Below are 13313 nucleotides of genomic sequence, written 5' to 3' on the forward strand. Positions count from 1 at the left end.
CCCAAATGTAAAAGCTAAAAGTATTAAACTCTTAGAAGAAAACATAGGCATAATCTTGGATTGGTTGATGTTTTCTTAGATATGACATCAAAACTGTAAGCAATGAAGGGAAAATAGATAAATTGGAGTTTGTCAAAATCAAAAGCTTTGGCCGGGTGTGGTGGCTCACACCTATAATCCCAGCACTTTAGGAGGCCAAGGTGGGTGGATCACCTGAGGTTGGGAGTTTGAGACCAGATTGACCAACATGGAGAAACCCCATCCCTACTAAAAATACAAAATTAGCCGGGTGTGGTGGCACATGCCTGTAATCCCAGCTACTCGGGAGGCTGAGGCAGGAGAATAGCTTGAACCTGGGAGGCAGAGACTGCAGTGAGCTGAGATCATGCCATTGCACTCCAGCCTGGCCAACAGAGCGAAAGTCCATCTCAAAAAATAATAATAATAAAATAAAAATAAAAGCTGTCTTTCTTCAAAGCACATCAAGATAGTGAAGTGACAATCTACAGAATGGCAGAAAATATCTGCAAGTCATATATCTGATAAGGGACTTGAATCCGAAATACAAAAAGAACTCCTACAACTCAACAATGAAAAGAAAAACAACCCAATTTAAACATGGGCAAAGGATTTGAATAGACATTTATCCAGAAAAGATATATATATATGAACAATAAGCACATGAAGAGATAGTCTACATCATTGGCCATCAGGCAAATGCAACTCAAAACCATAAGTTACCACTTGACATTCACTAGGATAGCTAAAATTAAAAAAGTAGACAATAGGCCAGGTGCGGTGGCTCACGCCTGTAATCCCTGCACTTTGGGAGGCCGAGGCAGGTGGATCACCTGTGGTCAGGAGTTCGAGACCAGCCTGGCCAACATGGCCAAACCACGTCTGTACTAAAAATACAAAAATTAGCCAGGCATGGTGTCAGGTGCCTGTAATTCCAGCTACTCAGGAGGCTGAGGAAGGAGAATTGCTTGAATTCGGGAGGCAGAAGTTGTGCAGTGGGCCAAGGTTGTGCCATTGCACTCCAGCCTGGGTGACAAGAGCAAAACTCCATCAAAAAAAAAAAAAGTAGACAATAAATAAGTGTTGGCAAAGATGTAGAGAATTTGGAGCCCTCAAACATTGCTGGTAGAATCATCAAATGGTGCAGCTACTTTGAAAAACAGTTTAGCAGTTCTCCAAAATGCTAAACATAGAGTCACCATATGACCCAGCAATTCTACTCCTGGTTATATAGCTGAGCAAAATGAAAACATATGTCCACATAAAAATTGCACACAAATGTTCACAGCAGTGTTATATGAAAATAACTCAAATGTTCCTCAACCGATGAATGAATAACGAAATGTGGGATAGCCACACAAAAAAACATTATTTGGTCACAAAGGGAAACAAATTACTGATAGGTGCTATGAGACAATGAACCTTGAAAACATGCTTGGTGAAAGAAGCCAGATGCAAATGCCAGCATATTGTGTGATTCCATTCATATAAAATGTCCAGAATAGGAAAATCCATCTACATGGAAAACAGATTAGTAGCTCGTTGCCAGTGTCTGTCAGAAAAGGAGACTAGGCAGTGACTTTAATTGGTACAGGGTTTCTTTGGTGATGTTTAAACTGTTCTAAAATTGTGGTGATGATTGCATATGTTTGTGAATATACTACTTAAGTGCGTGCTTTCAAGGGGTAGATTTTAAAATTTGAGTTATATCTCAATAAAGCCATTATTAAAAATTTAGGAAATACAGAATATATAGTCTTATTTCCTCCTCTTTCTCTCTCTCTCTCTCTTTTTTTTTTTTTTTTTTTTTGAGATGGAGTTTTGCTCTTGTCACCCAGGCTGGAGTGCAATGGCGTGACCTGGGCTCACCGCAACCTCCGCCTCCCGGGTTCAAGCGATTCTCCTGCCTCAGCCTCCTGAGTAGCTGGTATTATAGTTGAGCACCACCACGCCTGGCTAATTTTTGTACTTTAACTAGAGATGGGGTTTCACCATGTCTGCCAGGCTGGTCTTGAACTCCTGATCTCAGGTGATCCACCCCCTTTGGCTTCCCAAAGTGTTGGGATTACAGGCATGAGCCACCGCGCCTGGCCTTTCCCACTTTTCTTAACAAAATGTGGCATACTCTATATACATTTTTGAACTATGATTTTTTTTTTCACTTAAAAATATATCATGATGGCCGGGTGTGCTGGCTCACACCTGTAATCTTAGCACTTTGGGCGCCTGTAGTCCCAGATACTTAAGAAGTTGAGGCAGGAAGAATTGCCTGAACCTGCAAGGCGGAGGTTGCAGTGAGCCGAGATGGTGCCACTGCACTCCAGCCTGGGCAACAGAGCGAGACTCTGTCTCAGGAAAAAAAAAAAAAAAAGAGAGAGGCAGAGGCAGGAGAATCGCTTGAACCTGGGAGGTGGAGGTTGCAGTGAGCCGAGATTATACCATTGTACTCCAGCCTGGGTGACAAGAGCAAAACTCTATCTCAAAAAAAAAAAGTATATAATGACATTCACTTCATAATAATACATGGAACTTCTGTTCATTCTCGTTTATGCCACATAGTACTCTACTGTGTAGCTCTACCATGTATAATTCAATGAGTTTCCTGTGTACGTGGCATATGGGCTGTTCATAACATTTTGCTAAAATGTCACAATTAATAACCTTGTGCACTTGTTCTTTCATTTTTTACAGATGTATCTTCAAGGTAACTTCCTATAAAAGAGATTATTGTGTCAAAGGATAGATACATGTGAATGTATGATTGTTAAACATTGCCAAATTTTCTCTCTCTAGTATTTGTTCCAGTTTGTACTTCCAACAGCAATGTAATAAGAGTTATTATTTTCCTTCCAGCTTCATTAATATAGTAGGTTGCCACCTTTTGAATTTTTGTCAGTCAGTGAGTAAGAAACAGTATCTCAGGCTGGGTGTGGTGGCTCCCACCTGTAATCCCAGCACTTTGGGAGGCCGAGGCAAACGGATCACCTGAGATCGGGAGTTTGAGACCAGCCTGACCAACATGGAGAAACCCCGTCTCTACTAAAAATACAAAATTAGCTGGGCGTGGTGGCGCATGCCTGTAATCCCAGCTACTCAGGAGGCTGAGGCAGGAGAATTGCTTGAACCCGGGAGGTGGAGGTTGCGGTGACCTGAGATCGCACCATTGCACTCCAGCCTGGGCAACGAGAGCGACACTCCGTCTCAAAAAACAAAAACAAAAAGAAACAGTATCTCAGTGGAGTTTCAGTTTGAATTCTCTTTTGAGTGAAGTTAAGCATCTTTTGACATGTTTAAAGAGCTTTTTTTTTTTTGAGACAGAGTCTCACTCTTGTTGCCCAGGATGGACTGGAATGGCTAGATCTCGGCTCACTACAACCTCTGTCTCTCGGGTTCAAGCGATTCTCCTGCCTCAGCCTCCCAAGTAGCTGGGATTACAGGCACATCCCACCATGCCTGGCTAATTTTGTATTTTCAGTAGAGACGGGGTTTCACCATGTTGGCCAGGCTAGTCTCGAAATCCTGACCTTGGGTGATCCGCCAGCCTTGACCTCACAAAGTCCTGGAATCACTGGTGTGAGCCACCATGCCCGGCCTTAGTTTTTAAAACAAAGAAGAAATATAAGGGAGGGTAACTTTTAGAGATACCCATGAAAACTACAAAAATCAATTCATTTGATAATATTACAGCATGGAAGTTTGGGGATATTCATGAAACTGCCTTTGCAAAATTATGACTGAGACAGTGAAAGAGATCTAACTTAACCGACTCCATCTTGCCTCTAACCTCCAAGCTGTCATTGTTCATTCCTGGGCGTAGGCTGCACTAACTTTGGGAAAAACTTAGTTTATAGTTTAAAACAAAGACAATAACAGCTCTTTCCCAAAACAAACCTACTTCTTGCCTGGGGACTAGATTGTCTTTGTAGGACTAACATTAGCCACAAGATTAGAAATTATGGTTTTGGAGTCATGCAGCTGAAGGATACAAGATTCTGACCTTCCCTAAACTGCTCCTAAGATCAGTGCTTGAGATACTGTGCAGACCCTGCACTTGATAGATCAGCTGGCATCACCCAGATCAATAAACTGGCTTGTCTCATCTTGTGGCCCCCACCCAGGAACTGAGTCAGTGCATGAAAACAGCTTCGACCTCCCTGTGATTTCACCCCTGACCAATCAGCAATCCTGACTCACTGGCCTGGCTTCCCCCCACCCACCAAGTTATCCTTAAAAATACTGCTCCCCAAATGCTCAGGGAGACTTATTTGAGTAATAATAAAACTCCAGTCTCCCACACAGCTGGCTCTGCATAAATTACTCTTTATTGCAATTTCCCTATCTTAATGAATCGGCTCTGTCTAGGCAGCGGGCAAGGTGAAGGAACCCCTTGGGCGGTTACATTCGCGGTATCTGACACATATGGCTAGCCAGCACCAACAGCAAATAAGCATACACTCTGAAGTCAGGCAGAGATGGATTTAAATTCTGGTTCTTCCCGTTGACTGTGTGAATTGGGCAAGTCATTTAATCTCTCTGAGCTCTGGGATAATAATGGAACCTACTTCAAAGGACTGTTAAAAGGATTGAGGAGATAAAAAATCTTTATTTTATTATTATTATTAATTATTATTTTGAGACAGAGTCTTGCTCTGTCGCCCAGGCTGGAGTGCAGTGGCTGGACCTCGGCTCACTGCAAGCTCCGCCTCTCGGGTTCACGCCATTCTCCTGCCTCAGCCTCCGGAGTAGCTGGGACTACAGGCGCCTGCCAGCACGCCCGGCTAATTTTTTTGTATTTTTAGTAGAGACGGGGTTTCATCGTGTTAGCCAGGATGGTCTCGATCTCCTGACTTCATGATCCACCTGCCTCAGCCTCCCAAAGTGTTGGGATTACAGGCGTGAGCCACCGAGCCCGCTCCATAAAAAATCTTTAGTGAATAGTAGGTGCTCAGTAAGTGGTACGTATTACTAACAGTTAATTTTATGGTCTGCAGGCTGGGCATGGTGGCTCATGCCTGTAATCCTAGCACTTTGGGAGGCCAAGGTAGTGGATCACTCGAGGTCAGGAGTTCAAGACCAGCCTGGCCAACATGGTGAAACCCTGTCTCTACTAAAAACACAAAAAATTAGCCAGATGTGGTGGTGAGCTCCTATAGTCCCAGCTACTTGGGAGGCTGAGGCACAAGAATTGCTTGAACCTGGAGGTGGAGGTTGCAGTGAGCTGAGATCCAGCCACTGCGCTCCAGCCTGGGTGATGGAGCGAGACTCTGTCTCAAAAAAAAAAAAAAAAAAAAATGCCAGCTTTGGCTGGGCGTGGTGGCTCACACCTGTAATCCCAGCACTTTGGGAGGCCGAGATGGTTAGGAGTTCAAGACCAGCGTTGGCCAACGTGGCAAAATCCCATCTCTACTAAAAATACAAAAATTAGCTGGGTGTGGTGGTGCGCACCTGTAATCTCAGCTACTTGGGAGGCTGAGGCAGGCGAACAGCTTCAGTCTGGGAGGGGGAGTTTGCTGTGAGCCGAGATCACGCCACTGTACTCCAGCCTGGTCAACAGCACAAGACTCCATCTCAAAAAAAAAAAAAAAAAAAAGAAAGAAGAAATAAACCACTCTGCCTCTATGAATAGACGACAGGTTCCCTCAACCAATATCTCCATCATATTGTTTTTAATGGATTACATGAGTCAACACAAGGGTAAGGCACTTAGGCCACTGCTTAGCACATGGTCTACACTAGTAAATATGAGCTATTTTTATTTCCAGCCAATTATGCCACGGCGTGGTTGATGTTACAGAAGAGGAATTCTGTGAGAGTGGTGCATCCACCAGCTCTGAAGAAACTATATCTAGCAAACTACATTTATCAAGTAATACTGGGTCAGGCATGGTGGCTTACACCTGTAATCTCAGCACTTTGGGAGGCTAATGTGGGCGAATCACTTGAGCAGGAGTTTGAGACCAGCCTGCCCAACCTGGTGAAACCCTCTCTCTACCAAAAAAAAAAAAAAAAAAAAAAAATTAGCCAGGCATGGGGGTGCACCTGTAGTCCCAGCTACTTGGGAGGCTGAGGAAGGAGAATCACTTGAACCCAGGAGACAGAGGCTGCAGTGAGCTGAGATCACACCTCTGCACTCCAGCCTGGTGACAGAGTTAGACTTTGTCTCAAAAAACAAAACAAAACAAAAAGTAAAAATGGATCCCTCTTTGTATTATTAATCAACAATTAATTCCAATTAGAACTGGAATAAGAACAGGCCAGGCGCGGTGGCTCATGTCTATAATCCCAGCACTTTGGGAGGCTGAGGCAGGCAGATCACCTGAGGTCAGGAGTTTGAGACCAGCCTGGCCAACATTGTGAAACTCCGTCTCCACTAAAAAAAGAAAAAAAAAGTAGCCGGGTGTGGTGGCGTGTGCCTGTATTCCCAGCGACTCGGGAGGCTGAGGCAGGAGAATCGCTTGAACCCAGGCAGCGGAGGTTGCAGTGAGCCGAGATCGGACCACTGCACTCCGGCCTGGGTGACAGAGGGAGACTCCATCTCAATAAAAATAAAATAAAATAAAATAACTGGAATAACAACTTTTAATAAGGGCTGGGCACGGTGGCTCATGCCTGTAATCCCAACACTTTGGGAGGTCAAGGCAGGCGGATCACCTGAGGTCAGGAATTCAAGACCAGCCTGGCCAACATGGTGAAACCCTGTCTCTGCAAAAATACAAAAATTAGCCAGGCATAATGGCAGGTGCCTGTAATCCCAGCTACTCAGGAGGCTGAGACAGGTGAATCACTTGAACCCAGGAGGCAGAGGTTGCAGTAAGCTGAGATCGTGCCATTGCACTACAGCCTGGGTGACAGAGACTCTGTCTCAAAAAAAAAAAAAAAAGAACTTTTAATCAGCATGTGATAAGCAATATGATATAATTTCTGTCCAAAGCAAAGAAACTTGACATTTTAGCCTTGCAACCTTATCTAGAATAAATGTGACGGTTCCGTTAGGCTTTTGCAAATATTGGTGATTTCTGCCCTGGATCCCTAGTGATACCTTCACAGACTGACTTCTATGGTCCAGGACCCTTCTTCCCAGGATGGAAACTACCTATCTAGGAAAAAAGGACAGAAAGAAAGAAATGAGTAGAGGGGCACGCTGATATTTATAGACCAACTACCATGTGTTAGAGGTTAGGTATTTGATCTCTTTAGCCTCCTGATGTACTGAAAGGCTGATTTATTATTCCCATTTTAGAGATAAGGAACTTAGATAAACAAGAACTCAGAGAGGTTAAACAATGTGTTTTGGGTCAAAAGGTAATTTGTACCAGAATTTCTTTTTTTTTTTTTTGAGACGGAGTCTCACTCTATTGCCCAGACTGGAGTGCAATGGTGCAATCTTGGCTCACTGCAACCTCCCCCTCCCAGGTTCAAGCAATTCCCCTGCCTCAGCCTCCTGAGTAGCTGGGATTACAGGCATGTGCCACCACTCCTGGCTAATTTTGTGTTTTTTTGTTTGTTTGTTTGTTTGTTTTTGAGATGGAGTCTCGCTCTGTTGCCTAGGCTGGAGTGCAGTGGCGCGATCTCGGCTCACTGCAAGCTCTGCCTCCGAGATTCACGCCATTCTCCTGCCTCAGTTTCCCGAATAGCTGGTACTACAGGTGCCCATCACCATGCCTGGCTAATTTTGTTTTTGTATTTTTAGTAGAGACAGGGTTTCACCATATTAGCCAGGATGGTCTTGATCTCCTGACCTCGTGATCTGCCCGCCTCGGCCTCCCAAAGGGCTGGGATTACAGGCATGAGCCACCGTGCCTGGCTAATTTTGTGTTTTTAGTAGAGACAGGGTTTCACCATGTTGGCCAGGCTGGTCTCGAACTCCTGACCTCAGGAGATCCACCCACCTGGGCCTCCCAAAGTGCTGGGATTACAGGTGCGAGCCACCATGTACCAGAATTTCTAGGTCTTCTGATTCAAAGCCTGGAGCTCTTCCCTAGATATCAATCTACATCTTGTGAGACTGTGATAGAGAAGTCAGCCTTAATTAGCCGGGCATGGTGGTGCATGCCTGTAGTCCCAGGTATTTGGGAGGCTGAGGCAAGAGAATTGCTTGAATCCAGGAGGTGGAGGTTGCAGTGAGCTGAGATTGCACCACTGCACTCGACCCTGGGCGACAGAGTGAGACCCTGTCTCAAAAAAAAAAAAAAAAAAAAAAGAACTCAGCCTCAGCCTTATGTTTGCGGTACTCTCCCACATAGGCCTTACGTGGGAGAGGGATGGAGGGGTGGAGCAAGGATGCAATGGAGCAATGATCATGATTCTAGTTTTCCTTCTGTAGGTCCCAGGAGGGGAAAGTAGTTGCTCATGGCCAAATAAACCAGGGGATACTTGGAGAGCGAGAAATCAGGCTGGGGAATCACCCTGGCTAAAGACAACAAGGGTGTCTGTACCTCATGAGCTCTTCCTGGGAAGCTTTAGTGAGGAAGCTAGTACTCAGTTTGTGACTTTCCAAGGGTTTCCACTTGCCTGGAAGGTGACAAGTGTCTGGGAAGCAGAAGTCCTTGCTTCTGGTCCTTCCCCTATAACAGGTACTGAACCTGTCCCTTATTGAAGGCCAGGGACGTATGGTGCCCTGGCCCCACTCCCTGGTCCCTTCCTGCTCTTGAGAATCTGGATTCCAGAGGGAGAGGAAAACCAACAGTAGTGAGTACTATCAACAGTAGTGAGTACTACTATCAACAGTAGTGAGTACTATCAGCTGAACCCTGAATTGATACACCTGGTCTGACAGCCATTTGTATTTATTGGAAACCACAGGACAGAATCCTTGAAACAGAATTCATTGAGGATATTTTGATTTATCTACTCTGTGCCCACTTTTTTTAAAATTTTTATTTTTTGACTTGGAGTCTTGCTCTGTTGTCCAGGCTGGAGTGCAGTGGCGAGATCTTGGCTCACTGCAACCTCCATCTTCCAGGTTCAAGCAATTCTCCTGCCTCAGCCTCCCGAGTAGCTGGGATTACAGGTGCGTGCCGCCACACCTGGCTAATTTTTGTATTTTTAGTAGAGATGAGGTTTTGCCATGTTGGCCAGGGCAGTCTGGAACTCCTGACCACAAGTGATCTGCATGCCTCTACCTCCCAAAGTGCTGGGATTAGAGGCATGAGCCACCACACCCGGCCTACTCTGTGCCTATTGCCCACCTTTTGGGTTGTCAGTTGGGGAAATAATATTTATGGGAAACATGTAGTCAACATTAAAATGCAGCAGTCTGTTCTCTAGCATGTCTGACCACTTGCTAGCCAGATCTGCTTGTACACTTGCAGTGACAAGCTCACTGCCCGAAGGGCAGTTCCTTCTTGCTCTGGTCAGCTCTGAGGGAGAGCAAGTTCTTCTTTAGTTGAAGAAATCTAGTTGAAGAGCTGAAGACTCTCTTGCTGCAATCCCTGCCCATCTGTATGCACTGTATTCCAGGGATTTGAGGACAATCTTCATGGCCCAAGTCATCTACCCTCCTACCCCTAGTGTAACTTTCTTTGATATTTCCATGTATTTTGCACAGAAACTTTTGGATAGATACTTCATTCCTTGGGTCTCCATCCACTGCAGCTGGTCAGTGTCCCTGCAAAAAATGGTGCACAGAACCAACATTGCTGATGTGACCCAATCAGGATAATGTGCAGGAGATGCGTCCGTTCCTATAATCTACACTGTGTGACTATATTAATGAAACATAGAGTGAATGCTTTCTATCAGTTCCACAGAACTTGCTCTTTTTTTTTTTTTTTCAGACGGAGTCTCGCTCTGTTGCCCGGGCTGGAGTGCAGTGGCGCGATCTCCGCTTACTGCAAGCTCCACCTCCTGGGTTCACGCCGTTCTCCTGCCTCAGCCTCCCAAGTAGGTGCGACTACAGGCACTCGCCACCACGCCTGGCTAATTTTCTGTATTTTTAGTAGAGACGGTGCTTCACCGTGTTAGCCAGGATGGTCTCCATCTCCTGACCTCGTGATCCGCCCGCCTCGGTCTCCCAAAGTGCTGGGATTACAGGCGTGAGCCACCGCACCTGGCCAGTTTGTTCATTTTCATTGCTGTAGAATATTCCATTGTATGTTAAAACTTTTTTTTTTTTGAGGCAGAGTCTCGCTCTGTCGCCCAGGCTGGAGTGCAATGGTGTGATCTTGGCTTACTGCAAGCTCCGCCTCCTGGGTTCACGCCATTCTCCTGCCTCAGCCTCTCCAGTAGCTGGGACTACAGGCACCCGCCATGATGCCCTGTATGTTAAAACTTTTTAAAAATCTAGTCCACTGTTGATGAACATATGAGTCCTTTATTTATCGTATTATGAACTATGCCACTGTGAATATTCGTGTGTCTCCTGGGGCACATGGGCAATGTCATTGGTAACTAATTATTTCATGTGTTTATGTCTTATTCCCAATTTCCTTCAGAACATAAGAATCACATCTTTTATACTTAGTAAAGACTTTGAGCATACATTTGTTTTCCTAAAATATATTCCTAGGGGTGGAACTGCTGGGTCTTAAGGTTTACCTAAAAATACGAAAATGTTCAATATTCTTGATGCTCCTATCTGATTTCAAAATGGCTTTTTAACTACTTCCCTCACATGGAGAGCCCTAGGTGTCCAAATCATATGCCTGACCATTTCTGAGGGACCTTGACTTGAGGGCCTGGCTTCAAGCCTCATTATCAATGGCAACAAATTTGCCACTCTCTCACTGGAAGGAGCCCCTTCTATTTTATTTTTATTTATTTCTTTTTTTTGAGAGGGAGTCTTGCTCTGTCGCCCAGGCTGGAGTGCAGTGGTGCAATTTTGGCTCACTGCAACCTCTGGACCTCCTGGGTTCAAGCAATTCTGCCTCAGCCTCCCGATTGTAAGTGCCCAACACCACGCCTGGCTAATTTTTGTATTTTAGTAGAGACAGGGTTTCACCATGTTGGTCAGGCTGGTCTTGAACTTCTGACCTCAAATGATCTGCCCGCCTCGGCCTCCCAAAGTGCTGGGATTACAGGCGTGAGCCACCACACCTGGCCGCATCTGCTATCTTTATGGCTTATGCCTCGTGTTAGTCATCACAACAATACAGAGGATGCACTGGGCTGCCCTATCCTGGCCAAAGGTCTTCCTGGTAAGCATGGATTTGCTCATCCAGGAAAATCATTTATGGGGGGTTGGGCAGGGTGTTGGGGAGACCCTGCTTGCTCTCTCAAATGCACACCAGCCATTTGGGAGACATTAACTGCTCAAAAAACTCGAGTCTGTATTTTGGCTCTCCTCTAACGATGGCAGGACCTGGGGCAAAAGTACAAATAGATACCTAAATTATTTAAAATTACAAACCAGTTTGGACGTGGTGGCTCACACCTGTAATCCCAGCACTTTGGGAGGCCGAGGTGGGTAGATCACTTGAGGTCAGGAGTTCAAGACCAGCCGGGCTAACATGGTGAAACCCTGTCTCTACTAAAATTACAAGAGTTAACTGGGCGTGGTGACACACGCCTATAATCCTAGCTACTCAGGAGGCTGAGGCAGGAGAATCACTGGAATCCGGGAGGTGGAGGTTGCAGTGAGCTGAGATGGTGCCACTGCCCTCCAGCCTGGGCAATAGAGTGAGAGACTCCGTCTCCAAAAATTAAATAAATAATAAAATAAAATAAAATTACAAACTACTCCAATTAACCGCTAACCTTAATACAGTCTATCCTTCTACTTGGACAAATCTACCTGTTTAAGACCTGGAAGACCAGGTTTAAATTTAGAATTCCTGGGCTCCTGGGAGTTATGCCCATGAATGAGGTGGCGAAAGCAGCACAGGCCCTGGCCCAACTATTGTCTCTTGGCTCACTTGCCTTCTTTTCTCACCTCTGTCCTGCACCATGAGGGATCTGTGGACATAGGAGCTCAAACACCCAAGTGTCGTGTCACCCCCTTAAAATAAAACAAAGCTGCCCTTTAGCCTCCCTTTTTTTCAGTGAGAAATAATCATTTTAATAAAAGTATACCTTATTTAAAACAAATGATTTAAAGAAAGTAGAAACTGATTCTAATTAGTGGATTTTCTGATTATTATTATTATTATTTGAGATGGAGTCTCGATCTGTCGCCCAGGCTGGCAGTGGTGCGATCTTGGCTCACTGCAACCTCCGCCTTCTGGGTTCAAGCAATTCTCTGCCTCAGCCTCCCGAGTAGCTGGGAGTACAGGCGCCTGCCACCACACCCGACTAATTTTTTGTATTTTTAGTAGAGATGGGGTTTCACCATCTTGGAGAGGCTGATCTTGAACTCCTGACCTCGTGATCCACCTGCCTCAGTCTCCCAAAGTGCTGGGATTACAGGCGTGAGCCACTGTGCCCGGCCTATTATTATTTTTTTATTATACTTTAAATTCTTGGATACATGTGCTAAACGTGCAGGTTTGTTACATAGGTATACATGTGCCATGGTGGTTTGCTGCATCTATCAACCCGTCATCTAGGTTTTAAGCCCCGCATGCATTAGGTATTTGTCCTAATGCTCTCCCTCCCCTTCCCCCCACCCCCCACAGGCCCCGGTGTGTGATGTTCCCCTCCCTGTGTCCATGTGTTCTCATTATTCAATTCCCACTTATGAGTGAGAACATGAGGTGTTTGGTTTTCTTTTCCTGTGTTAGTTTGCTGAGAATGATGGTTTCCAGCTTCATGCATGTCCCTGCAAAGGACATGAACTCATTCTTTATGCTTTCACTTTAGCTTCTTTTAGGGATGTCTAGACTCTGCCATAGAGAGAATGGATCTGGGAAAGAGACCACAGCTTCAGCCATCTGGAAAGGGAATTCTGGGGCCACAAGTATTCAGAACTTGGTCCTGAAGTGCCAAACCCTGTGGACTCCCTCATCCTGGGGTGGGATTGCTGGGTCTTAAAATGTACATAATTCCTGATGCTCCTCTCTGATTTCAAAATAGCTTTTTAGGCCGGGCGCGGTGGCTCACGCCTGTAATCCCAGCACTTTGGGAGGCTGAGGCAGGCGGATCACGAGGTCAAGGGTTTGAGACCAGCCTGACCAACATAGTGAAACCCCGTCTCTACTAAAAATACAAAAATTAGCCGGGTGTGGTGGCGTGCGCCTGTTGTCCCAGCTAGTCGGGAGGCTGAGGCAGGAGAATTGCTTGAACCCGGGAGGCAGAGGTTGCAGTGAGCCGAGATCGCACCATGGCACTCCAGCCTGGGTGTCAGAGTGAGACTCTATCTCCAAAAAAAAAAAAAAAGCTTTTTAAACTACCTCCTTGGCATGGGGCACTCCAGGTGTCGA

Source organism: Homo sapiens, chromosome 17 (genome assembly GCF_000001405.40).
Source record: "Homo sapiens chromosome 17, GRCh38.p14 Primary Assembly".
NCBI classification, from domain to species: Eukaryota; Metazoa; Chordata; class Mammalia; order Primates; family Hominidae; genus Homo; species Homo sapiens.